The 27443-nt window shown below is 39.4% G+C and overlaps 2 long non-coding RNA genes across 7 annotated transcripts in view, besides 2 other annotated features; both read left to right on the forward strand.

The window, feature by feature from the left end:
• Positions 1-27443, forward strand: part of LINC02718 (long intergenic non-protein coding RNA 2718) — a 376384-nt gene that overhangs the window by 178720 nt on the left and 170221 nt on the right. The gene's annotated exons all lie outside the window — the stretch shown is intronic.
• The window catches only part of LOC124902646 (uncharacterized), a 187361-nt gene that overhangs the window by 87297 nt on the left and 72621 nt on the right, over positions 1-27443 (forward strand). The window lies entirely within an intron of this gene.
• Positions 25143-25643: an enhancer, noted in NCBI's record as "H3K4me1 hESC enhancer chr11:23054822-23055322 (GRCh37/hg19 assembly coordinates)". NCBI's record gives its function as "activates a minimal SCP1, AML or CMV promoter by ChIP-STARR-seq in primed H9 embryonic stem cells {active_cell/tissue: H9 hESC(primed)}" and the evidence as "EXISTENCE:reporter gene assay evidence [ECO:0000049][PMID:30033119]".
• Positions 25644-26144: an enhancer, noted in NCBI's record as "H3K4me1 hESC enhancer chr11:23055323-23055823 (GRCh37/hg19 assembly coordinates)". NCBI's record gives its function as "activates a minimal SCP1, AML or CMV promoter by ChIP-STARR-seq in primed H9 embryonic stem cells {active_cell/tissue: H9 hESC(primed)}" and the evidence as "EXISTENCE:reporter gene assay evidence [ECO:0000049][PMID:30033119]".

Here is a 27443-nt window from a genome sequence, read left to right on the forward strand (position 1 = left end):
TTGAGGAATTTATCCATTTCTTCTAGATTTTCTAGTTTATTTGCCTGGAGGTGTTCGTAGTATTCTCTGATGGTAGTTTGTATTTCTGTGGGATTGGTGGTGATATCCCCTTTATCATTTTTTATTGCGTCTATTTGATTCTTCTCTCTTTTCTTCTTTATTAGTCTTGCTAGCGGTCTATCAATTTTGTTGATCCTTTCAAAAAACCAGCTCCTGGATTCATTAATTTTTTGAAGGGTTTTTTGTGTCTCTATTTCCTTCAGTTCTGCTCTGATTTTAGTTATTTCTTTCCTTCTGCTAGCTTTTGAATGTGTTTGCTCTTGCTTTTCTAGTTCTTTTAATTGTGATTTTAGGGTGTCAATTTTAGATCTTTCCTGCTTTCTCTTGTGGGCATTTAGTGCTATAAATTTCCCTCTACATATTGCTTTCAGTGTGTCCCAGAGATTCTGGTAATGTTGTGTCTTTGTTCTCGTTGGTTTCAAAGAACATCTTTATTTCTGCCTTCATTTCGTTATGTACCCAGTAGTCATTCAGGAGCAGGTTGTTCAGTTTCCATGTAGTTGAGCAGTTTTGAGTGAGTTTCTTTGCAAAACACTGCTCAATGAAATAAAAGAGGATACAAACAAATGGAAGAACATTCCGTTCTCATGGGTAGGAAGAATCAATATCGTGAAAATGGCCATATTGCCCAAGGTAATTTATAGATTCAATGCCATCCCCATCAAGCTACCAATGACTTTCTTCACAGAATTGGAAAAAACTACTTTAAAGTTCATATGGCATCAAAAAAGAGCCTGCATCACCAAATCAATCCTAAGCCAAAAGAACAAAGCTGGAGGCATCATGCTACCTGACTTCAAACTATACTACAAGGCTACAGTAACCAAAACAGCATAGTATTGGTACCAAAACAGAGATATAGATCAAGGGAACAGAACAGAGCCCTCAGAAATAACGCCGCATATCTACAACTATCTCATCTTTGACAAACCTGAGAAAAGCAATGGGGAAAGGATTCCCTATTTAATAAATGGTGCTGGGAAAACTGGCTAGCCATATGTAGAAAGCTGAAACTGGATCCCTTCCTTACACCTTATACAAAAATTACTTCAAGATGGATTAAAGACTTAAATGTTAGACCTAAAACCATAAAAACCCTAGAAGAAAACCAAGGCATTACCATTCAGGACATAGGCATGGGAAAGTACTACATGTCTAAAACACCAAAAGCAATGGCAACAAAAGCCAAAATTGACAAATGGGATCTAATTAAACTAAAGAGCTTCTGCACAGCAAAAGAAACTACCATCAGAGTGAACAGGCAACCTACAAAATGGGAGAAAATTTTTGCAACCTACTCATCTGACAAAGGGCTAATATCCAGAATCTACAATGAACTCAAACAAATTTACAAGAAAAAACAAACAACCCCATCAAAAAGTGGGTGAAGGACATGAACAGACACTTCTCAAAAGAAGACATTTATGCAGCCAAAAAACACATGAAAAAATGCTCACCATCACTGGCCATCAGAGAAATGCAAATCAAAACCACAATGAGATACCATCTCACACCAGTTAGAATGGCGATCATTAAAAAGTCAGGAAACAACAGGTGCTGGAGAGGATGTGGAGAAATAGGAACACTTTTACACTGTTGGTGGGACTGTAAACTAGTTCAACCATCGTGGAATTCAGTGTGGCGATTCCTCAGGGATCTAGAACTAGAAATACCATTTGACCCAGCCATCCCATTACTGGGTATATACCCAAAGGACTATAAATCATGCTGCTATAAAGACACATGCACACGTATGTTTATTGTGGCATTATTCACAGTAGCAAAGACTTGGAACCAACCCAAATGTCCAACAATGATAGACTGGATTAAGAAAATGTGGCACATGTACACCATGGAATACTATGCAGCCATAAAAAATGATGAGTTCATGTCTTTTGTAGGGACATGGATGAAATTGGAAATGATCATTCTCAGTAAACTATCGCAAGAACAAAAAACCAAACACCACATATTCTCACTCATAGGTGGGAATTGAACAAAGAGAACACATGGACACAGGAAGGGGAACATCACACTCTGGGGACTGTTGTGGGTTGGGGTGAGGGGGTAGGGATAGCATTGGGAGATATACCTAATGCTAAATGACGAGTTAATGGGTGCAGCACGCCAGCATGGCACATGTATACATATGTAACAAACCTGAATGTTGTGCACATGTACCCTAAAACTTAAAGCATAATAATAATAAAATAAAATAAAGAAAAAGGCTGTCAATCTGTTTCTTAGACAAAAAAAACTAATATGAGTAAAATGCCAAAGATTGCATCCACATATAATTTAATGTCCTCTAAATCACAAATTATATAAAGTTCTTCTCAATTATCTTTAAATTAAGAAATAGTGCAACACAGTAACAATCACTAAGCACAGACACCCCTTTTCTATGTATCTATTGATTGATCTGTTGATTTATCAGCTATCTGCGGATACTAATATCACAATGGTATCCTTTTAATGATTCCTATTTTTATTTCACCATACAAAATGTAAAGTAAAAAAAAATTGAAATTATGAATTTGAAAAGGCTTTCTAAAAATAGTTTCACTGGCGTCTTTGAAAAATCATCCTTTGGTGAAACTTTGGGATGCATACATGGCAATTTTTGAAATAGCTGAAAGACTGTTTTGCTGCCTTCCTTTAATTTCTATTATTCTGTTTTATAGATTGAAAAAAAAAATCTGTGATTTGAGATTTGGAACTTGCCCAAATTCACAGCTAGGAAGTGTCATATCCATGATTTGAACCTAGCAGGCTGGCTCCAGGCCTTGCACTGTGAACTGGTGAGAAATACACACACTGCAGAGTTAATAATTAAAGTCACTGATAATATGATAAAGCTGCTCAATACTAATGGTTAACTATCCAATATTATAAAGTAAACTTCAGCACATGCATTGATGTCTCACTCTAAGGTTGAAGATTAAACAAGTTTCAGGATCCTTAAGTTTGATTCCTATTTAAGTCAAAGTCTTGGAGAAAGATCAAAGCACAAGAAGTGAAAACACACCAGAGCTTGCCTTGCACACTTTGCACCTAACTTTTCCCATGTGTGAAACAGAGATTGTAACTGCATCTACTTCAAGAGTGGGTGTGAGTATAAAACTAGTTTAATGAATTTAAAGTCCTTACAATAGCGACAGCCTCATGAAGGGCACTTAGTAAATGAAAATGTTGCAGTTGTAATTATTATTTCTAATATTATGTGCTGATGCTGATTTTTAGAGGCAGTAAAGTGAGAAAACAACACAGAAAACTTGACTTTGTTTCTAAGTTCCATCCCTACTTGTGGAATTTTGTGTAAATAAAGAACAAATAAGGATACTAAAAAGATAAAAAGAGATATGTGATGTTAATTTTTGTAATATACTTTATTCAAATCATATCATTATAAGGTAAAAATAATGTAAACTATGTAGAAAAGTATTAATGAATTTTTTTTTTTTTTTTTTGAGATGGAGTCTCGCTTTGTCTCCCAGGCTGGAGTGCAGTTGCGCGATCTCAGCTCACTGCATGCTCCACCTCCCAGGTTCACACTATTCTGCTGCCTCAGCCTCCTGAGTAGCTGGGACTACAGGTGCCCGCCACCACGCCTGGCTAATTTTTTTATTTTTAGTGGAGACGGGGTTTCACCGTGTTAGGCAGGATGGTCTCGATCTCCTGACCTTGTGATCTGCCCGCCTCGGCCTCCCAAAGTGCTGGGATTACAGGTGTGAGCCACTGCACCCAGCGCTAATGGAATATTTGACATTCCTTTGTTTCATACCAAGTCTTCAAAATCCAGTATGTATTTATAATTACACCACACCTGAATTCAGGTGGGCTACGTTTCGAATGTTTCAAAGTGGCTAGTGGCTACCATATCGGACAGTGAAGCCCTATTATATCTTGTAATCCTTACGATAATTTATGAGGTAGATATTATTGTTATTCCTATTTGCAAATGAAGATAGTAAGGCTTACAGAGGTAAAGTAACTTTATTGTAGTCGTGCACAAATACATGGCATCACCAGGACTTCAAACAAGGTTCTTCTGGCTCCAAAGACCATAATCAACCGGCTACACATTTTGCCTCTTGGAACTTTTTCTTCTATTTCCAATTTACCTATCCTTAGTCTTTTCATCTTTAACTTCACAGGAAATTTTGCTGCCGTTGGGGATGATGCACTTCAGAGGGAAAATGAAGGCAGAAGTATGTAGCCCCGTGAAGCACATCACAAATATTGTCATGTATAATCTTATACTCTTCCTCTGAAATCACAATTTCAAATATATTCACTGAAGTCACCATAATGACAGAAGAGGAAATTAGTACTCATGAGCAACTAAGAGCAAAGCCAAATGGCTTGCTGCAAACAGAGAGTGAAATTTCTTAGAAGTTTCATGCTTTTTCCCTTTTCCTTCCTTTTTTAAGGGTGAAATGATGCTAATTGTGCATACTACCCCATGAAAGGTGTGTTTCTTTTAAATTAAAATTAATCTTTAAAATGATTCAACTTTGAGTAAAATATGACTTTGATGTCCCTGCACACTTCCACATACATTTGGGTGTGTTCTTTATACAATTTGAGAACACGTCCTTTAGATAGTCTACATTTTATCTATGAAGCATTCAGATACTTCCTAAAACTGCATTAGTGGAATTGTGCTTCCAAAAGAAAGATATAGCTATGGGAATATCATCAATGTATTTGTTTTATTGTAGTCCAGTATAAAATGTATGCCTTCTTTTATTCAGAGCAAAAGGGAAATCTTTCTCAGGCCTTGTTATTTGGAAAACTTGCCCTGATCTTATTAAATACTGAGGTATTGATATTTATTCCCCTGCAATTGTCAAAAGCCACATTCTTAGTCTACGCCTAGAAACTGCGGTTTCCAGGATGTATTTAATGAGTGTACAGGCATATCTTGGAGATATTGCCAGTTCCATACCCAACCACCACAGTAAATTAAGTATTGAAATAAAGCAAATATAGCTATGAAATGAGTCACACAAACTTGTTGGTTTACTAGAGCATAGGAAAGTTGTGTTGATACTATATTTTAGTCTATTAAGTGTGCAATAGCATTTTGTCAACAAAAGTACATAATTTAATTAAAAAGTTCCTTGTTTTTAAAAATGCAGGTAAAATGAGCACATGCTGTTGGAAAAATACCACCAATAGACTTGGTCAATGCAGAGTTGCCACAAACTTTCAATCTGTAAAAAATACATGCAATATCTACAAAGGGTGATGAAGTGAAGAACAATAAAATGAGGCATGCCTGTACTTGAAATATTATTTAGTTTATCTGTAAAAAAATTTAAATAGACTTCATATTTTACAGCAGTTTTACTTTTGCAGCAAAACTGAGCAAAAGGTAGAGAGATCTGCCTTGTCTCCTGGTCTCCCATAGGCGCAGCCTCTCCACTATCAAGATACTGCACCAGAGTGGTGTATTTGTTACAGTCAGTGAACCTACAATGACACATTATTATCACCCAAAGTCCATAGTTTCCAATAGGGGTCGCTTTTAGTGCTGTACTTTCTGTGGATTTGGACAAATGTGCGATGACATATATCCGCCATTATTGTATCGCACAGAGTAGTTTTACTACCCTGAAAGCCCTTTGTGTTCCTCATCTTTTCTACAATAAAAATTCCTTTATTTTCTTTTGAGTCATGTTGTATCATACACATTATACTTCAAGTCATCAAGTCGTAGAATATAAATAAGAAAGAAGAAGTTATTTTCAGTTTGCTCTACAAATTAATGAGTCATCTCTCCTTTATGTATCTTTTCGTATCTTAATCTCTTTGGTGCCAATACCCATGCAGTTTTCACTTTGACATTCAGCCTGTGCTTTTCATAGAGTCACTGCATGTAGTTGGTGCTCAATGGATACTTTCAAAATGGTTGTAATTTTTCACTAACCACCAAAGCCAGTAACTGTGCAGTTTCCTGCTTGTGGCCCTCACTGTGCCACACATATAGTAAACACTCCTTAACATAATTAAATTAAATCTGGAAACTTAAATCAGCAATACATTCATTAGTTTTATTGCATAATTTTTTGTCTGTCAACCAAGATGTTAAACATATCACTATTTAAAAGTTCTTGGGTATATGTACTACAATCAGATTTGCCAATTCATGTTTTAATTGAATTATAATAATTCCCATTTTTGGAATTACTCGTATAAGTCAAAAACTAAGCAGAAAGCAACTAAAATTGTACTCTTTGTTATTAATAATTTTTACAGTAAGGAGACTTTTCTGTTTTTACTGAATATTGAAAACCAAGATTAGGCTGCCAAAACACAACTGTCTAAAATTTTCAAAAGCTTACATAAACACTTCTCTAAAAAGTTGTTAAAAATTTGTTATATATTTTCAAAAGGTTTTTAAATGTGGAAGTGATTATGATGCTTTTTAAGCTCCTGAAAAATGTCTTTGAGCCTTCAAAACAAACTTTTTCTTCTCTAGAAGCAAAGAATTACTAGTTTTCTTTCTAAATTTTATTTTTTAATAGATAAAGGCTAAACATGGTACTATAAACTATCAGCCTACTTACATATTCTTATCTTATATGCAAAGTTTAAAATCTTATTAAGATCTGATACCAAGAACTGAAACAAACCTACATGGTAAATACCAAAATCAATAATAAATTTATGCTCCTTAAACATCTCTCTGACTTCTACTCTTTATAAAAGATAAATAACTTGGTAGTGGAAAATATTTTATGGGCTATCATTCAGTAGAGATTATTCTCACTTCTCTTTGTCAGTTCTTTTGAATAACAACTTTAAGGAGAAATTCAGGAGCAAATACACCTATATATCTATTTATATATTATACATGTATGATATATTAATGTATATATCACTTATATGTCATATATGATAAACATGATAAATTTATATATCTATATGTAAATGTACATATCTCTTATAACATATTTATAAATAATAATGGCAAATCTTTTACAGAGAAAGAAATTACTTAATGTTATGAGGCTCAATAATGAGATTCCTTGAAGCTTTTAAATGTTTCTTCCTAGGTAAATCCTAAGCAGATCCCTCACGTCTAAACTTGGTGCTCCCTATTGTACCTTTTCAAAGTCACCTGTACTGTTTTTTTTTTTTGATAGAAATAACCACACATGAGCCTTAAAGGCCCATACTGATAGTAATTATGTACTTACTTGCTTGATTATGAATTAATAGCTGTAATTCTCACTAGATTATGATTTCCAAGTGAGGCAAAGTCTTATATTTTTCCCTACTGAATCTGTTACCCACACAACAGGTGGGTTCCATCCCTTGACAGGTGACAGTCCAATGACCACAACCAAGGAGGATTTAACAAGGGGACTTTATTATTTGCAACAAGCAAGGAGGACAGCAGCGAAAGTTCCCCAAGCAGTGCCTCCATGAACAGTGCTGAAAGCAGTGCTTTTATTGGGCTGCTTAACTGAGTCATTGCACGTAGAGGTGGAGTAAAGGCAGCACAGGTGCAGCTGTTGTGCTGAACCCTCATCATTAACCTCAGTAGGGAAGGCACCATGTTCAAGGGGCCAAAGCACAGACCCGGAGCCAGCAAACAAGACATAGGGTTTCATTAGGGGCTTATATACAGGGTAGAAAGTCCAGTGGTGGCGGGCTGGGCAGGAGAACTATAACTGCTTGCAAATATCATGCAGTTTATATACCTCTTTTACATAATACCCTCCCCTTAGCAATCTTCACCTGGCAACCTTTATTTAATCCCAAACTCAGGGCCTCAATCCCCTGCATGGCCCATGTTCCATGGGATGGGCCAGGAGCTCAGATGTTCCTCACAGACAAGGAACACATTTCCAGGGTCTCCACTCCTGGGTTTTCTAGCTCAAAACACACATGCAGGTGCATCTGCCATACAGGGACATTCTAAGGGTATGCTTCAGTTATTGCCATCAGGTACATTTACCCTAAAGTTGCTAATCATGCTTCTACACATGTGGCATGTATAGAAAAATGGTGAATAAGTTCCTCTGTGGGTGAAGATTTTAGGATGGTAATGAGGGGAGTTTGGCAAAGTTCATCTCCAACTCAGGCATCTCTGGATCCAACCAGTTTTTTATTTTCTGGGGCTGAGCTTCTTCCTGAAAGTTTTTGGGAACAAGAACCCCAAGGTACAGCAGTTACAAGTGGTTATTTTCACAGTGTGTATCCCAAAACTCGGGGATTCTGGCTTACAAATCACCCCTGAGACATTCCACTCCTCATTCTTGAGGGGTTACTGACAGAGGTCATTCTTCTGTGTCTACTTCATGCTGACCAGGGGCATCGATTCCCTTAAATTTAGAGGAGTAAACTCTCTGGCTGAGTTTAAGTAAGTTTTTGGGTCCCCTGGGTGAGTGAGGTTAAAGCTAAAGAGGTAGATATCAGACTTGCGTTCGTTATCTTCTTGATCTGAACATGCTTGACACTTTTTCTATTCTTCTGGGCAATTTAAACAAATGAGGCTGATTCTCTTGGTGACACTGCTCTTATGGGTGAGGTCCACACAAACCATAGAACATGAAGGGCCCATTTGGACAGCTATAGGCTTGGGTGAGATTTTGGATCTCCATCCCACCACTGTGATGTTAATGTCTCCCCACAAAGGAAAGGCAGCAGCCACCGTCTCCAGGTCTAGGGATACCTGTGGCATATCCAGCATTTGGACAGATTGTTCCCACTGGAAGTTTACTATTGCCTTGGCCTCCCAGAGACCACTGGCCATGGGAACTAAAAGGGCTAAATAGCATAAAGGAAAGAGAGTTCATTTTTACTTATCTGGACCTTTTCTTCTGAAAACCAATTTGAGGTCCATGAGAGCTTCACAAGTATATTGGAGGGAGGGTAACCTGGGGGCTTCTTGACTTTCTTCACTCTTGAATCATGATGGACCCAACAGGTTACTCCCTGGAGTTTAAGGGGAGAATGAGTGCTTAGAAGCTTTAGGTAGGTCCCTGTCCATACAGGGTAAAGCTGGTCCTGGTGGGGCTTGGTCTTGTATATCTTAAGGTATACCCTGTCTCCTGGGTTGTATGGGTGAAGGTTTACCCCAGGGGGGACTGGGAGGCTGTGATTGCCATAATGATTTATAGAGGGTACTGCTGACTCTAGATAAGTGATATGCTTTATTGTCCTTTCTATCTCTGTATCTGGGCAAAAAAGGGGGCTTGCCTTGCCTGGATAAGGCCTTCCATATAATATTTCAAAGGGGCTAAACCCCATTTTACCTCCGAGTACTGCCCATATGTGGGCCAGGGCTATGGTAAATATCTTTAACCAATTCTCTTGGGCCTCCTGGCATAAATTGCCTAGGATACCCTTGAGAGTTCTATTGGCTTTTGCAGTTTTCCCTGAAGACTGTGGTCCCAGGCTGCATGGAACTTCCGCTGTATGCCCAAGGCATGGGAAGTTTTTGTCACTATGTTAAAAACAAATGCAAGTGCATTATCAGTCTGGACTGAACAGGGAAACTGAATCAAGGGATAATTTCATTTAATCAAGCCTTTATGACTTCTCCTGCCTTCATAGTCCAGCATGGAAAAACCTCTGTCCAACAGATAAAGATATCTATAAGTACCAGGAAGTGTTTAAATCCTCCAGGAGCCATAGGCATAACAATGAACTCAATTGGCCAGTCTTCCCCTGGCATGGTTCCACTGAATTGTACCATCTTGGCCAAAGTGGATATGGGAGGTCTGGTTTGAGCATGTTTTTCTGAAAAAAGACACACTGGTCAGCCACTTTATAATTTTCTTTACCCTTGAAGTCCTTATTATCCTAAAGAGCCAGGTGTGCATAGCCTCCTTGCTATAGTGTGAGGAAATATGGGTATGCTTTACAATAGCTCAACTTAGATTTTTGGGCACCCATATCTTACCTCTTTAAATTTGAGCCCACCCCACTGAGAGGGAACTCTGTTATCCCTCTTGCTTGGTTTCCTATAATTCCCCAGGGGAGCACCTTGGCTTATATTCATAAAAAGGTACCAAAGGAAGCAAGAACATTTGGCAGACTTCCCCTCCCCACCAGCACAGCCCTTTTGGCCGTGGTATCTGCCAGGTTGTTCTCCTGTATTATTTCATAGACCCTCCTGGTCACCTTGGCAAAGGACTACAGCAATCATTCTGGGCATTTCCACGGCCCAAAGCAGTGCCAATATTTCTGTTCCATATTGGATTTCCTTGTTTTTGGCATTTAGAAGAAGTCCCTTTTCCTTCCAGGTTGCTCCACAGGCATGGAGAACAGAGAACACATAGCTCACGTATCTGTAAAGTGTCAATGCCTCGGTCTTTCCTAACATTAAGGCTCAGGTTAATGCTATTATCTCAGCCTTTTTGGTGGAGGTTCCTATGGGGAGGCTGTAGTCTTTGATGGTTTCCCATGGGGAGACAACCACGTAACCTGCCTTTCTTTTGCCTCTTTCCATGAAGCCACTGCCATCTACAAACATACATTTTCCAAATTTGGAAGAGGTTCACTCTACAAATCGTTTCTTCCAGAGTATAGTTCTTCTATGGTGGTAGAGCAGTAATGGATTTGGGAATCCTGGATAATGGGCATTGGGATGGCACAGATAAGGATTGGCATGTACACATGCAGTTGTTGGAGGTGTCTACCAACAAGGCCTGATATATTGCAGCATTCTGCAGCTTGTTAACCAATAACTCTCTTAGACTCCAGTACACTTGTCATGTGGTGGGGGATCTGAATAGTCAATTCTTGATTCTGTAATCTTCTCAGCTTCCTGGATAAGCATACAAATGGCAGCCACTGCCCCATGCAAGGGGAGACAACCTCTTGCCACACTATCACATTATTTAGTAAGTTGTGCAGCACCCTTTTCATGGGTCCTAGCATCTGGGTCAGCATTCCAAGAGCTATTCTCTGTCGTTCATGGATGTAGATGTCAAAAGGCTCAGTTATGTTGGGGAGCTGTAGGGCCAGAGTCTCCAGTAACAGCTTTTGAAGCTTCTGGAAAGCCTGATCAAATTTCCCATCCCATTCAAAAAGGTGGGTGTGGCCAGGCGCAGTGGCTCACGTCTGTAATCCCAGCACTTTGGGAGGCTGAGGTGGGCAGGTTGCCTGAGACCAGGAGTTTGAGACCAGCTTGGGCAATGCAGTGTAACCGTCTCTACTAAAATTACAAAAATTAACCAGGCATGGTGGCACATGCCTGCAATCCCAGTTACTTGGAGGCTGAGGCAGGAGAATCTCTTGAACCCAGGAGATAGAGGTTGCAGTGAGATTATGCCACTGTACTCCAGCCTGGGTGACAGAGCGAGACTGTCTCAAAAAAAAAAAAAAAAAAAAAAAAAGAGGTAGTTGTTGGCCCTTGTCATAAAGTAGCTTTGCTGTAAGCCAAAAATTTGGGGTCCAGATGTGACAGAATTCCACTGTACCCAAGAATCCATGCAATTCTATATGGTTCCTAGGAAGGACCAGGTGGTAAACAGCATTTTCTGGTCATAGGGAAGTTTGCACTGGCCCTGAGGGATAACATACTCTAAATACTGGACAGTCTCCTTTGAAATCTGGACTTTTCTTCTGACACTTTACAGTCCCTTTCTGCTAGAAAGTTCAGGACTGGATGGATAGTTTTACCAGAATCTTCTTTAATGGGGCTGGCTATGAGGATATCATCCACATATTGCAAGACGATGCCCCACTATGTCTTCAAGTCTCATAGAGCTCAGCTTAGGGCCCCCCAAAATGTTTGGGGAGTTCCTGAAGTCTGGAGAAGTACCATCCAGCATTACTTCTCTGAAACATTTTAGGATCCTCTCATTCAAAGGCAAATAATTCCTGAGAGTCATGGCTTAGAGGCACATAAAAGAAGGCATCTTTCAGAGCTAGCACACTAAAGTATTTGCTGTCCCCTGAGAGACTGGCTAGCAATATATAAGTGTTAGGCTCTATGGGGTAAATGTCCTGAGCAGCACTGTTAACCATCTCTCTTTTTTCTGGGTTCTTAACAGTGGGGTATTACATGGGAAGTGACCAGGCCTGATAAGCCCTTGGAGTAAGAGACTCTCTAACACAGGCTGTATTCCCTGCAGTGCTTCAGGTTTTAGAGGATATTTTCCTACTCTTGGTGTCGGGCTGTTTGGTTTTAACTGTATCCTTATAAGTTCTACTGTGACAGTCCTTATTTGGCCCTGTGACCATACTTCAGGGTTGACTTGTGCTAGAATATCACCTAGGGTTTCTCCTGGAGGATCAAGATCTTCATGAAGAAGGGCCAGGAAGGCAGCTCTTTGAGCTCTTGGCACCTCTACTTCTAACTGGACTTGGTTGAGGCAGACAATGGCTTCAAGTTTTGTCAGTATGTCCTTCCCTAGGGGATGAGCCACTGAGGGGCATACAGGGAAGAGGGGTCAGGGTCTTTGAATCACAGTCAGAGCCTCCAGAAACTGCTCACTGTCTCCCTTTCCTGACATCCCCTTAATATTACACACTCTGAGTACCCTTTCTGCTAGCCAGTGTAGAGAATGTGGCTCACGTATTGAGCAGAATCTCAAATCGGCTGTCCCCCTACTTCTAAGGAGATAGAGATCTTATATTGAGGAGCCAGTTGGGGAGGTCCTGGGTCCTGCCAGTCTTCTTTTGTTGTTGAGAGCTTGTCCCTAGCCTTCTCTCTTTGGAGACAGCTGGGTCCTTCTCCCAGTGTCCCACTAATTTGAAATAGGCACACTGATCAGGTCCTAGTTTCTTGGTGGCCCAAGACTGATCCCACGTTATGGCCTGGGATCAGTCACCCAAGCTGGCTCCCTTCTTCCTTCTGGGTTGTCTGGAATGGACTGAGGTGCAACTACCAGAAAGCTGCTTCTTTCTTCGTCTTCTTTTCTGCCTTCTCCAACCACATCTCTGTTATTGAAACCTTGAAGGTCATCTCTACTAACTGGGGAGGGGATAATGTCAGGGCCTATGGCCAATTTCTGAATCTTTCTGTGGGTATCTGGAGCAATCTGAGATATAAACAGGTGCTAAGGACCACCTGACTTCCCTGTGCCTCAGGGTCCCAGGAGATATAGTCCTGCAGGCACTCTCCCAGCCATTCTAGAAATGCTGAGGGGTTCTAGGTCCCTGATGAACATCCCTAAGCTTACTCCAATTAACAGGAGGTTCGCTAACTTCTTTCATTCCTTTCAATAATATGTTCAGGTCATTTTCCAAGTTCTCCCTCCCTATTCTGGTACTGGGGTCCCAATGTGGTTCTCCATTCGGAACCAATTGCTCTTCTGGTCACTAGATGGGGCTATTGGGCTGGTTATTAGGCTGCCTGCCAGCTTTTGCCCCAGCCTCAGCTAAAACTGTGGATATTTCCTCAGTAGTTAAAAAGGTGGTCACCAAGGTCTGAGCATCAGCCCAGGTCAGGTTGTGAGTGGAAAAGATGCCTCCTATAAGGGAAATAAATTCCTCAGGTTAGCCTGAAAGCCTTTCATACGTATTTCACAATTACAGTTCTCAGAGGTGGTAAAAGGCACATGTACTTGGATTAAATGCACATCCCCATCCAAAACCTGCCTGAGGGGAAACATCCCACCTCCCAGTTTGTAAAAGCTCCCACTCCGGGATTGTGCTATCTGGAAGAGGAGCCCCTGACACATTAGTTGGGGAGGCCCCTGATATTTTAGTTGGAGTTTATCTGCCAAGTCAGGTGGTTACGTGGGAGGAGACATCCCCGATAATCTGTTGGAATGACAACCTCCTTCTCTCTGTTCTCTTCTTTCCTGGCTTTCATGGGGTGGAGGGAGGTTTTCTCATCCACAGGGCTCTCTAGGATTGGTAGCAGCTTCTCCAGTGGCTTAGCTGGAGATCCAGGTGGTCCAACCTTGAGAGTACAAAGTCCGCACTTTATCTATAGGTCCCTGTTCTGGTAAAGGGCCATAAAACATTGGACACAGGGTATCTCATCCCATTTCTCTTGCCTCTTATGGAAAATATCCAGCTGAAGAATGCTATGGTAATTAAGTGACCTGTCCCTCTGCCATTGTTCCTGGCTACCTAGGACACATTGTGGCCAGGCTGTGTTACAAAAGAAAATCATCTTCTTTTTAGTTATTGGAGAATACCCAAAAATCTTCTAGTGTTGGATAATGCACCCTAAAAGGCTTTATCTGAATACCCCAAAATCTTCTAGTGTTTAGAGGATAAACCCTAATGGGCTTTGCTCTGATACGGAGGTCAGGTTCCCCATACCCTAAAGTTCTTATTTAGGGTTCGATTCTAGCTTCTCAAAGTTTACATAGCAGGTTAACAGTTATACAGATGTGCAATGACTGATTTTTCCTCTCAAAATGTAACAGGCCCCTCTAACACACATAATAAAAGTAAGTCAATGTGTGAGGGTGACCTGGCAGATCCCAAGCACAGCCCCGTGTGCTTCCTGCAAAATCCCACCATGCTGCCCAGTGACCCTCCTGGGCATCAGGCATAGTAGCTTCCCCTTCTTTTAAAAGCTGATACCTGAAGAGAACATACCCAGGTGAATCAGGAATGTATCAGTGTGAGCCCCTTCTCCTAAGCTGAAGTTTTCCCAGTCTAGCTGTCAAAGTCGAGGGCTTCCAGCCTCCACAGGTCCCTTTCTACTTTGGAAGATGCATCCCCTCTGATGACCTTAAACCTATCTCTGGAAAAATTGATCTCACAGTTCATTTCACTGTTGGCTAGCCAGGTCTAGATTGCTGTTTACTGTGATGGGAGTTTCTTTCAATCCCCCAGGGCACAAACCAGAAAAAGAAAGAAAGTCAAACAGAGGTACACTGCCCTTACTCTAGAGATCCCGTTGCTAGATCCAAAGAATTCACTCTTTTAGTCAGCCCATGGTGTAAAGTCCACTTACTGCCCTGAAGGATCACAGAACAAAAAGGTTCAGGCAGCCACTTGTACTCTTTTGGGGTAGGCCCAAGTGACAGCCTGGTGGGCTTGTCACCATGTGAAAGATCCTCCTGTATCATACCCACCCCTTTCAGGCAATGTGAGCGAGTTAGCCTGGGTGAGCTGCCGCTACCCACTGCTTCACCTATTGGGAGGCTTTGAGGAGTTAGGATCAGAACCAGGGTCTTGAGCCCATCTGAGTCACCAGGATTGTTACTCACACAATAGGTGGGCTTTATCACTTGAGGGTTGACAGTCCAATGACCAAGGTGGATTTAGCTAGGGGATTTTATTACTTGCAACAAGTAAAGAGAACACTGAGGATAGTTCCCAAGGCAGTGGCTCCAAAACATCATTGAAAACAGCTTTTATTGAGTTGTTTAGCTGAGTCATTTTATGTAGAGAGGGAGTAAAGACAGTGCAGTCTCAGTCGCTGATCATGCAGAAGCATGTATAGAAAATGACAAATAAGCTCCTCCTGGGGTGGGGATTTTAGTATGGTAATGAGGGGAGTTCAGCAAAATTCACCTCCAACTCAGGCATCTCTGGATCCAAACAGTTTTTGTTTTTCTGGGGCAGAGCTTCTTCCCGGAACTTTTTTGAAATAAGAGCTCAAGGTACAATAGTTATAAGTGGGTCCCTTTTCACAGTGCATACCCAAAAATCTGGAGACCCTGGGTTACAAACCCCTGGTACTTGGGAGGATGTGTCCAGTAAAAGCAACACCAACAGAATAATAAATCACTCTGATCCAAATGATGCATCCACAGATTGCTGTGGAATTCAGCCACTCACATGTTCCTTTATCCTAAATTTTTCAGTAAGAGCCTAGTCAATATATGTTTGTGTACTATTTGAAATTTAATAAATTAGGGCAGATTATGGTTGAAAGTTTGAAACCTCTTCCTGTTTCCTCTCTCATTGGCAACCGGCCCATTATACATGTGCAAATTCGGAGGCAAAGACATATCAATTCTTTCCATGACCTGAAGTAAAAAGACCAATTGACACATCCAGGAGGATTGGTTATGTTATAGAAAGAATAAAAAAGTATACATTTGTTCATGTAATCTCTTTATAAAGTCATTAGAATGAAATATTAAAATGAAAATACTTATTACTAAAAATAAGTTTATCTACCTATCTATGCATAGATATATATGTCAGCTGAATGATAACTTGAGGCTTTGAATTATTGGGTTGCTGCAAAAGTAATTTCAGTTTTCACCATTAAAAGTAATTACTTTTAATGTACTTTGCATATTTGGGAGGCATAAATTTGCCTCTAAATTTGCACATTTATAATGGGCTGATGTCCATGAGAGGGGAAACAGGAAGATGTTTCAAACTTTCAGCCATAATCTGCCCTAATTTATTAAATTTTCAATACTACACAAACATATATTGACTAGGCTTTTACTGAAAAATTTAGGAGAAAGGAACATCTGAGTGGCTGAATTAAAAATAATTACTTTTAATGGCAAAAGCTGCAATTGCTTTTGCACCAACCTAATATTACTGCAATTTAAACAAACCTTGGAAGATGCTCTTTGCTAATTAACCAGCATGCAAATTTATGACCTGACAAACCACATTTCACTACTGGCTAATTTTATCTTCTCATTCAATCTGTTTAAAAAAAGAGCAATTTTTATAAAGCACTATTTTTTAATAAAAATTATTAAGTCCTAATCTAATTCTTTGAGAAAATAATTGAGTGAGAGAATTAAGTTTGATGTAGGTGCTCAAGTTAAGGGTTTAATGATTGTCTATTTACTGAAAAAAAGTCAGCAAATACTAAGAAACTATACAAAACCGAGAAATAGTCACAAAAATATGGTAAAATAACTAGATAGACTAGATAATAAATTACAACCTACATTTCCTACACACGTTCTTTCATTTTACAATGTAGCCACATTAAACATATACAAACTCCCAAATTGCCTTACTGTAGGATCAGTTTATACATGTCTGTAATCCAAAATAACAAAAATAACAATACAGCACACTATGTCCCTCTCTTGAAAATTCACAGTACACACTGGTACATTAAATCTACTAAAAAAATCTCTGTAAATATTGTAAAATATTTACTGAGTATTGGCTGATTTCAATGAGCTCATCACATCATTTCTGTGTATCATTAACATTCGACTATTTCATGAAATATGCTTTGGGAAATACTTCTCTAAGTAACGATTTTTATTCAGTTAGATAACATGTTTATTGAGCATCAGTATGTGCAAGAATGAGAGAATCATGGCCTCTGCCTTTCTAAACTTTTTTTAGGGGAGCGGGGAGACAGAGAATAAATAAATTATTAGGTGAAAGAATTAAGTTTGATGTAGGTGCTCTGAAGAAATTTAACAGGGAAATATATCAACAAATATTGAGAAGGGAAAGCGCTCTCTGAGGAGAGCGACATTGGAGTATTAGCTGTTAAAGAGAGAGACAGGGTACAGGCCATGCAGAGCCTTACAGCCCCACAGTGAATGTTTTGTTTATTTTGTTGGGATGGAACAAAGGGTTTTAAGCATCACGATAAAGAAATCTGGTTTATATTTGTGAAGCATATTCTGACTGCTTGCTATGGGGAGAATTGAAGGAAGAGAAACAAGAATAGAAAAAGGGAAGCTGAACATTATTGAAATTGTTGATTGAGATATGAGAATGGTACAAGCCAGAGTGGTGACAGTAGAGAGGGATAAGAATGAACAAATCAAAATGCATTTTGGAGGTAAAGCTGCTAACAGGATTTGCTAGGGGATTTCATGTGGGGACTGATGGAATAAGGAGAATCAAGTATGACTCCTTAAATTTCTGGATTTGAATCGTTGGATGAATAGTGATATCATTTACTGTATTAATGAAAAGTGGAAGAGGAATAGATTCGGTGAGAAAAAGTCAATTCTTTTTAATGTTACATTCAAGATGGTTTTTAGACAGCCAAGTGGAGATGTCAAGTAAATAGTAGATGATTCAAACTACAGAGAAAATGTTTGACTTGGTTATACATTTCTAAGTTATTAGCACATAACATATAACACCAATGATCTAAGAAACTCATATAGTGTCAGACATCTTTCTGGGTTATTTGATGCTATGGGATTTGTGCCTTTCAATGTCTTTGAGCTACTTTACAACTACGAATGTAATAGATAACTAATAGCAATAAAAATAATTCTTGTCTAGAGATATGCAAATTAATTTTGTCAGATGGAAAGACAATTGAGTCTCTCATGCTCCAAATCAGTTTTGTATAAATTTCTACATACTGATCCTCCTATTACCAAATAGTCTTTTATCTTTTTCATCCTCTTTGAAATAATCTTGCTTATTTAATGGTTTGATAATGTTCTTCCTGCTTCATCTAACTAGAAAGTGAGGTCTAGAAAGTCAGAGTCATTACTTGTGTTTAGTTCACTATTACAAACCAAGCAGATAAAAATGCCTGATATTAAAATAAAGTCTCAATAAACCTTTTTAAGTATAATCTAATGATGGCATTTTTATTGCCTCTTGGAAAACAATCTTCAAAGAAAAAGAAGAGAGCAAGAACGTAGTTTGGTTGTTATGCACATGGACCTGGCTCTGCCCCTGACAATACATGTGACTTTCTGCAAGATACTTAACATCTCTGTACCTTAGTTTTCTCATTCATACAATAAGGATAATAATTATACTCACCTCATAAGATTGTTATGAGAATTAAAAGTTGCAGTTTTTAAGTGCCTAGGAAAGTTCTTTTTATCTAGTAAGTACTATATGTGTTTGTTGGATAAATAACAACAGAGTGGAAAACTCAAATTATATTTCAATGTTTTATGTATCTTTCCTTTCCAGTTTCAGTTCTTCCCTACTTGACAAGTTCTTTCAATGAAGTATACAGTTGGGTAAAAGTACTTAGTCAATTTCTTTTATTTTAAATTTCCTGTTTCTTTATGCTCACACCTGTCATTACTCAAGGCAATTTTTAGGTGCAGTGTCTGGAGAGAGAGGAATGCATCCTTCATTTTGTAAGATATGTATGGTTTCAATTATTTATAATGTTTATTAATCAGCCAACATTCCTTAGGTAGCTAGAACTCACATTTAATATTTTGTAGATGGAGTATTTTACTTATTTATTTATTTATTTTAACTGAGGGAAGTTTTATTTTCAGGATTTTATTACATCTTGTCATTCTCTGAAGAGTAGCTTAAATTCTTTCTCTGCACATGACATTTTTCTAAAGAATTTTGCACTGGAGGAACTTAGATTTTGTACTATTGTGAATATCCTTGTCAAATCCTTTTTCATGACATTTCAGGTCTTGGAAAGCAGTGTTCAAAAACATATCAAACATTTGAGAAGATGTTGACATCCTTAAGTGATTCAAAACAACTTCCTCCTGTTTTTCCATAGTTACATTATCTCTTCTAGGTTTAAAAAAAAGTAGCCTAGAGCGGGCTCTGGGCAAAAGAGTTAAGTTCAAAACCTCAGCCTCCCTTTTAAAATTCTTCAAATTTTGTCCCTTCTCTATCTTTTAAAAATCATCTTGATTACATTTTTCATGCAACTGGTTTTTTTTTTTTCAGTTTTATTGACTTACCAAGCTTTTTTTTTTTACAATACTGATTTTTTTTTTCTTGCCTCTGGCTTTTTGCTCAAGCTGTTTCCTCTGCCTAGAATGTTCTTTTCCCCCATATAAACCCAATACAAATATTTCTGAATCCCACTCAAATTTCACACTCTCCAAGATGCCTGCCGAGATACAACCAAGAATTTTATATGCCTCTCTTTCTTCTCTATATCATGTTTGTAACTCTATCAAGTTTTCACCATTTGCCTTAAACCAAAATTTCTCCATTTATTTCTCTGTGATTATTTATTTAATTGAGTGCTCCTGGCCTCAATTTATTTTTTTAGTTATTCTGGACTACAGGCTGCTGTAGAATGTGTTCCCAAGGTGAGTTTTTGATACATACATGCCTGCTAAACATAATCATTCTTTTATTATTATTATTATTATACTTTAAGTTTTAGGGTACATGTGCACAATGTCTAGGTTAGTTACATATGTATACATGTGCCATGCTGGTGTGCTGCACCCACTAACTCGTCATCTAGCATTAGGTATATCTCCCAATGCTATCCCTCCCCCCTCCCCCCACCCCACAACAGTCCCCAGAGTGTGATGTTCCCCTTCCTGTGTCCATGTGTTCTCGTTGTTCAATTTCCACCTATGAGTGAGAATATGCGGTGTTTGGTTTTTTGTTCTTGCGATAGTTTACTGAGAATGATGATCTCCAGTTTCATCCATGTCCCTACAAAGGACATGAACTCATCATTTTTATGGCTGCATAGTATTCCATGGTGTATATGTGCCACATTTTCTTAATCCAGTCTATCATTGTTGGACATTTGAGTTGGTTCCAAGTCTTTGCTATTGTGAATAATGCCGCAATAAACATATGTGTGCATGTGTCTTTATAACAGCATGATTTATAGTCCTTTGGGTATATACCCAGTAATGGGATGGCTGGGTCAAATAGTATTTCTAGTTCTAGATCCCTGAGGAATCGCCACACTGACTTCCACAATGGTTGAATTAGTTTACAGTCCCACCAACAGTGTAAAAGTGTCCCTATGTCTCCACATCCTCTCCAGCACCTGTTCTTTCCTGATTTTTTAATGATTGCCATTCTAACTGGTGTGAAATGGTATCTCATTGCGGTTTTGATTTGCATTTCTCTGATGGCCAGTGATGGTGAGCATTTTTTCATGTGTTTTTTGGCTGCATAAATGTCTTCTTTTGAGAAGTGTCTGTTCATATCCTTTGCCCACTTTTTCATGGGGTTGTTTGTTTTTTTCTTGTAAATTTGTTTGAGTTCATTGTAGATTCTGGATATTAGCCCTTTGTCAGATGAGTAGGTTGCGAAAATTTTCTCCCATTTTGTAGGCTGCCTGTTCACTCTGATGGTAGTTTCTTTTGCTGTGCAGAAGCTCTTTAGTTTAATTAGATCCCATTTGTCAATTTTGTCTTTTGTTGCCATTGCTTTTGGTGTTTTAGACGTGAAGTCCTTGCCCATGCCTATGTCCTGAATGGTAATGCCTAGGTTTTCTTCTAGGGTTTTTATGGTTTTAGGTCTAAAGTTTAAGTCTTTAATCCATCTTGAATTAATTTTTGTATAAGATATAAGGAAGGGATCCAGTTTCAGCTTTCTACATATGGCTAGCCAGTTTTCCTAGCACCATTTATTAAATAGGGAATCGTTTCGTAATTTCTTGTTTTTCTCAGGTTTGTTAAAGATCAGATAGTTGTAGATATGCGGCATTATTTCTGAGGGCTCTGTTCTATTCCCTTGATCTATATCTCTGTTTTGGTACCAGTACCATGCTGTTTTGGTTACTGTAGCCTTGTAGTATAGTTTGAAGTCAGGTAGTTTGATGCCTCCAGCTTTGTTCTTTTGGCTCAGGATTGACTTGGTGATGCGGGCTCTTTTTTGGTTCCATATGAACTTTAAAGTAGTTTTTTCCAATACTGTGAAGAAAGTCATTGGTAGCTTGATGGGGATGGCATTGAATCTATAAATTACCTTGGGCAGTATGGCCATTTTCATGATATTGACTCTTCCTACCCATGAGCATGGAATGTTCTTCCATTTGTTTATATCCTCTTTTAATTCCTTGAGCAGTGGTTTGTAGTTCTCCTTGAAGAGGTCCTTCACATCCCTTGTAAGTTGGATTCCTAGGTATTTTATTCTCTTTGAAGCAATTGTGAATGGGAGTTCACTCATGATTTGGCTCTCTGTTTGTCTGTTGTTGGTGTATAAGAATGCTTGTGATTTTTGTACATTGTTTTCGTATCCTGAGACTTTGCTGAAGTTGCTTATCAGCTTAAGGAGATTTTGGGCTGAGACAGTGGGGTTTTCTAGAGATACAAACATGTCATCTGCAAACAGGGACAATTTGACTTCCTCTTTTCCGAATTGAATACCTTTTATTTCCTTCTCCTGCCTAATTGCCCTGGCCAGAACTTCCAACACTATGTTGAATAGGAGTGGTGGGAGAGGGCATCCCTGTCTTGTGCCAGTTTTCAAAGGGAATGCTTCCAGTTTTTGCCCATTCCATATGATATTGGCTGTGAGTTTGTCATAGATAGATAGCTCTTATTATTTTGAGATACGTCCCATCAATACCTAATTTATTGAGAGTTTTTAGCATGAGGGGTTGTTGAAATTTGTCAAAGGCCTTTTCTGCATCTATTGAGATAATCGTGGTTTTTGTCTTTGGCTCTGTTTATATGCTGGATTACATTTATTGATTTGCACATATTGAACCAGCTGTGCATCCCAGGGATGAAGCCCACTTGATCATGGTGGATAAGCTTTTTGATGTGCTGCTGGATTCAGTTTGCCAGTATTTTATTAAGGATTTTTGCATCAATGTTCATCAAGGATATTGTTCTAAAATTCTCTTTTTTGGTTGTGTCTCTGCCTGGCTTTGGTATCAGGATGATGCTGTCCTCATAAAATGAGTTAGGGAGGATTCCGTCTTTTTCTATTGATTGGAATAGTTTCAGAAGGAATGGTACCAGTTCCTCCTTGTACCTCTGGTAGAATTCGGCTGTGAATGCATCTGGTCCTGGACTCTTTTTGGTTGGTAAGCTATTGATTATTGCCACAATTTCAGAGCCTCTTATTGGTCTATTCAGAGATTCAAGTTCTTCCTGGTTTAGTCTTGGGAGAGTGTATGTGTTGAGGAATTTATCCATTTCTTCTAGATTTTCAAGTTTATTTGCGTAGAGGTGTTTGTAGTATTCTCTGATGGTAGTTTGTATTTCTGTGGGATTGGTGGTGATATCCCCTTTATCATTTTTTATTGTGTCTATTTGATTCTTCTCTTTTTTTCTTTATTAGTCTTGCTAGAGGTCTATCAATTTTGTTGATCCTTTCAAAAAACCAGCTCCTGGATTCGTTAATTTTTTGAAGTGTTTTTTCTGTCTCTATTTCCTTCAGTTCTGCTCTGATTTTAGTTACTTCTTGCCTTCTGCTAGCTTTTGGATGTGTTTGCTCTTGCTTTTCTAGTTCTTTTAATTGTGATGTTAGGGTGTCAATTTTGGATCTTTCCTGCTTTCTCTTGTGGGCATTTAGTGCTATAAATTTCCCTGTACACACTGCTTTGAATGGGTCCCAGAGATTCTGGTATGTTGTGTCTTTGTTCTCTTTGGTTTCAAATAACATCTTTATTTCTGCCTTCATTTTGTTATGTACCCAGTAGTCATTCAGGAGCAGGTTGTTCAGTTTCCATGTAGTTGAGTGGTTTTGAGTGATATTCTTAATCCTGAGTTCTAATTTGATTGCACTGTGGTCTGAGAGATAGTTTGTTATAATTTTTGTTCTTTTACATTTGCTGAGGAGAGCTTTACTTCCAAGTATGTGGTCAATTTTGGAATAGGTGTGGTGTGGTGCTGAAAAAAATGTATATTCTGTTGATTTGGGGTGGAGAGTTCTGTAGATGTCTATTAGGTCTGCTTAGTGCAGAGCTGAGTTCAATTCCTGGGTATCCTTGTTGACTTTCTGTCTCGTTGATCTGTCTAATGTTGACAGTGGGGTGTTAAAGTCTCCCATTATTAATGTGTGGGAGTCTAAGTCTCTTGGTAAGTCACTCAGGACTTGCTTTATGAATCTGGTTGCTCCTGTATTGGGTGCATATATATTTAGGATAGTTAGCTCTTCTTGTTGAATTGATCCCTTTACCATTAAGTAATGGCCTTCTTTGTCTCTTTTTATATTTGTTGGTTTAAAGTCTGTTTTATCAGAGACTAGGATTGCAACCCCTGCCTTTTTTTGTTTTCCATTTGCTTGGTAGATCTTCCTCCATCCTTTTATTTTGAGCCTATGTGTGTCTCTGCCCGTGAGATGGGTTTCCTGAATACAGCACACTGATGGGTCTTGACTCTTTATCCAATTTGCCAGTCTGTGTCTTTTAATTGGAGCATTTAGTCCATTTACATTTAAAGTTAATATTGTTATGTGTGAATTTGATCCTGTCATTATGATGTTAGCTGGTTATTTTGCTCGTTAGTTGATGCAGTTTCTTCCTAGTCTCAATGGTCTCTACATTTTGGCATGATTTTGCAGCGGCTGGTACTGGTTGTTCCTTTCCATGGTTAGCACTTCCTTCAGGAGCTCTTTTAGGGCAGGCCTGGTGGAGACAAAATCTCTCAGCATTTGCTTGTCTGTAAAGGAATTTTATTTCTCCTTCACTTATGAAGCTTAGTTTGGCTGGATATGAAATTCTGGGTTGAAAATTCCTTTCTTTAAGAATGTTGAATATTGGCCCCCACTCTCTTCTGGCTTGTAGAGTTTCTGCCGAGAGATCCGCTGTTAGTCTGATGGGCTTCCCTTGGAGGGTAACCCGACCTTTCTCTCTGGCTGCCCTTAACATTTTTTCCTTCATTTCAACTTTGGTGAATCTGACAATTATGTGTCTTGGTGTTGCTCTTCTCGAGGGGTATCTTTGTGTCGTTCTCTGTATTTCCTGAATCTTAATGTTGGCCTGTCTTGCTAGATTGGGGAAGTTCTCCTGGATAATATCCTGCAGAGTGTTTTCCAACTTGGTTCCATTCTCCCCGTCACTTTCAGGTACACCAATCAGACGTAGATTTGGTCTTTTCACATAGTCCCATATTTCTTGGAGGCTTTGCTGATTTCTTTTTATTCTTTTTTCTCTAAACTTCACTTCTCACTTCATTTCATTCATTTCATCTTCCATCGCTAATACCCTTTCTTCCAGTTGATCACATTGGCTCCTGAGGCTTCTGCATTCTTCATGTAGTTCTCGAGCCTTGGTTTTCAGCTCCATCAGCTCCTTTAAGCACTTCTCTATATTGGTTATTCTAGTTTTACATTCTTCTAAATTTTTTTCAAAGTTATCAACTTCTTTGCCTTTGGTTTGAATGTCCTCCCGTAGCTCGGAGTAATTTGATCATCTGAAGCCTTCTTCTCTCAGCTCATCAAAGTCATTCTCCATCCAGCTTTGTTCCATTGCTGGTGAGGAACTGTGTTCCTTTGGAGGAGGAGAGGCGCTCTGCTTTTTAGAGTTTCCAGTTTTTCTGCTCTGTTTTTTCCCCATCTTTGTGGTTTTATCTACTTTTGGTCTTTGATGATGGTGATGTACAGATGGGTTTTTGGTGTGGATGTCCTTTCTGTTTGTTAGTTTTCCTTCTAACAGACAGGACCCTCAGCTGCAGGTCTGTTGGAGTACCCGGCCATGTGAGGTGTCAGTCTGCTCCTGCTGGGGGGTGCCTCCCAGTTAGGCTGCTCGGGGGTGAGGGGTCAGGGACCCACTTGAGGAGGCTGTCTGCCCATTCTCAGGTCTCCAGCTGCGTGCTGGGAGAACCACTGCTCTCTTCAAAGCTGTCAGACAGGGACATTTAAGTCTGCAGAGGTTACTGCTGTCTTTTTGTTTGTCTGTGCTCTGCCCCCAGAGGTGGAGCCTACAGAGGCAGGCAGGCCTCCTTGAGCTGTGGTGGGCTCCATCCAGTTCGAGCTTCCTGGCTGCTTTGTTTACCTAAGCAAGCCTGAGTGATGGTGGGCGCCCCTCCCCCAGCCTCGCTGCCGCCTTGCAGTTTGATCTCAGACTGCTGTGCTAGCAATCAGCGAGACTCCGTGGGCATAGGACCCTCTGAGCCATGTGCGGGATAAAATCTCCTGGTGCGCCGTTTTTTAAGCCTGTCAGAGAAGCGCAGTATTCGGGTGGGAGTGACCCAATTTTCCACGTGCCGTCTGTCACTTTCTTTGACTAGGAAAGGGAGCTCCCTGACCCCTTGCGCTTCCCGAGTGAGGCAATGCCTCACCCTGCTTCGGCTCGCGCACAGTGCATGCACCCACTGACCTGCGCCCACTGTCTGGCACTCCCTACTGAGATGAATCCAGTACCACAGATGGAAATGCAGAAATCACCCGTCTTCTGCGTCGCTCACGCTGGGAGCTGTAGACCGGAGCTGTTCCTATTCGGCCATCTTGGCTCCTCTGTCCTAAATATAATCATTCTGCATTGACCATGGAATCAGTCTGCATTGAAGCTGAGTTCAGATATTGCCTATACTCCTATCATTGGTAAACTAACCTCTAGTGTTCATTATATTCATCTGTAAAGTGAGAATAAAACCAGCTACTTATAAAACTGTTCTGGGGATTAAATGAAATAATATTGCGAAAGTGGTATTTAATCTGATTGCTGTAATTTATCTTCTACATTTTCCTAGGTATTTTGTCTCCTTTCTGATGTCTTCTGGGCAGCATTTGCCGTGCTGAACTTTTTCTTCCTTTCATATTGAGTTTCTTATTTTCCATTGAGTAAATTGCTTTGTGTATTTCTTAATTTGGTAATACATGTCTTCATTTCTAATTTAAATGTTTTATATAAAATTTAGAAATTCAATGATACTACCAAACATATTTGCTTATTTTAATCAATATGTAACACCATTGTAATGATTAGGGGAGTTGGGTGATAGCTACACATGATGGTGATCAGAACAGCAGACCACAGGTATCTGCTGGTGATAGCTACAGATGTGCTTTTTTGTTAGTCTGGATTATAAAGAGATGGGTTGTGATTTTCAGAGAAGACTCTTAAGAATACATAAACATTGGTACATTATTGCATTTTTTCTTTTACTGTTTTGTTCCAAAAAGAAATGAGTAGATGAACAAAAATGAAAGAAAATAATAAAATGTAGACCAGTCTCTTCAACTGCTTGTTACATAATTTAGTATAATATATTTGGGCAGTGAGGAGTTTGGAAATAGATTATTAAACCTTTGAAGAATTTTTCAACTGTAATAACTGTTTTCTTTACTAATACCAATGATTGTTTTGATTCCATTACATGACAAGAAAAATAGTTACCACACTGCCACTTTTTAGCTGTACGCTCTTGGTTGGCAAGTTACTTAAACTCTCTATGCTTCAATTTAGTCCTTGTTAAAATAAGGGGTAATAATTGCACCTACCTGACAGACCTTTGTTTTGAAGAATAATGAAATAATGGAGTATTTGAAAAGTACCTGGCATACAGTAGGTGCTGAAATGGACAGGAGACGGGGAAATACTGGGTAGAAGAGGGTGGTGGACTGGCCAGGGCCCCACCTTAAGCCTGGAAACCTGTGGCACTAAATGGGAACAGGCATTTCTGTTTTTGCAAATATTGCCTTTTTGCCTGCCACACTCCCCTATCCTGTAATCATATAAACCCCAAACCCAAGGCTCCACGAGCAGATAAGCAAAGGAACAGGAGAGCAAAAGAGTGGCAGAATGGTGTGGCAGAGAAGGAAGGAAGAGAAAGAGCACCTGAACGTTGAGAGGGGTTCAGTTGGGGATGATTGGAGAGGAGATTGGCCACTGGATGGCAAAACTCTAGGGGAAGATCATCTTCACACTCCATCCTCTTTCCACCTCCCCTTCC

This window comes from Homo sapiens, chromosome 11, assembly GCF_000001405.40.
Source record: "Homo sapiens chromosome 11, GRCh38.p14 Primary Assembly".
NCBI lineage: Eukaryota > Metazoa > Chordata > Mammalia > Primates > Hominidae > Homo > Homo sapiens.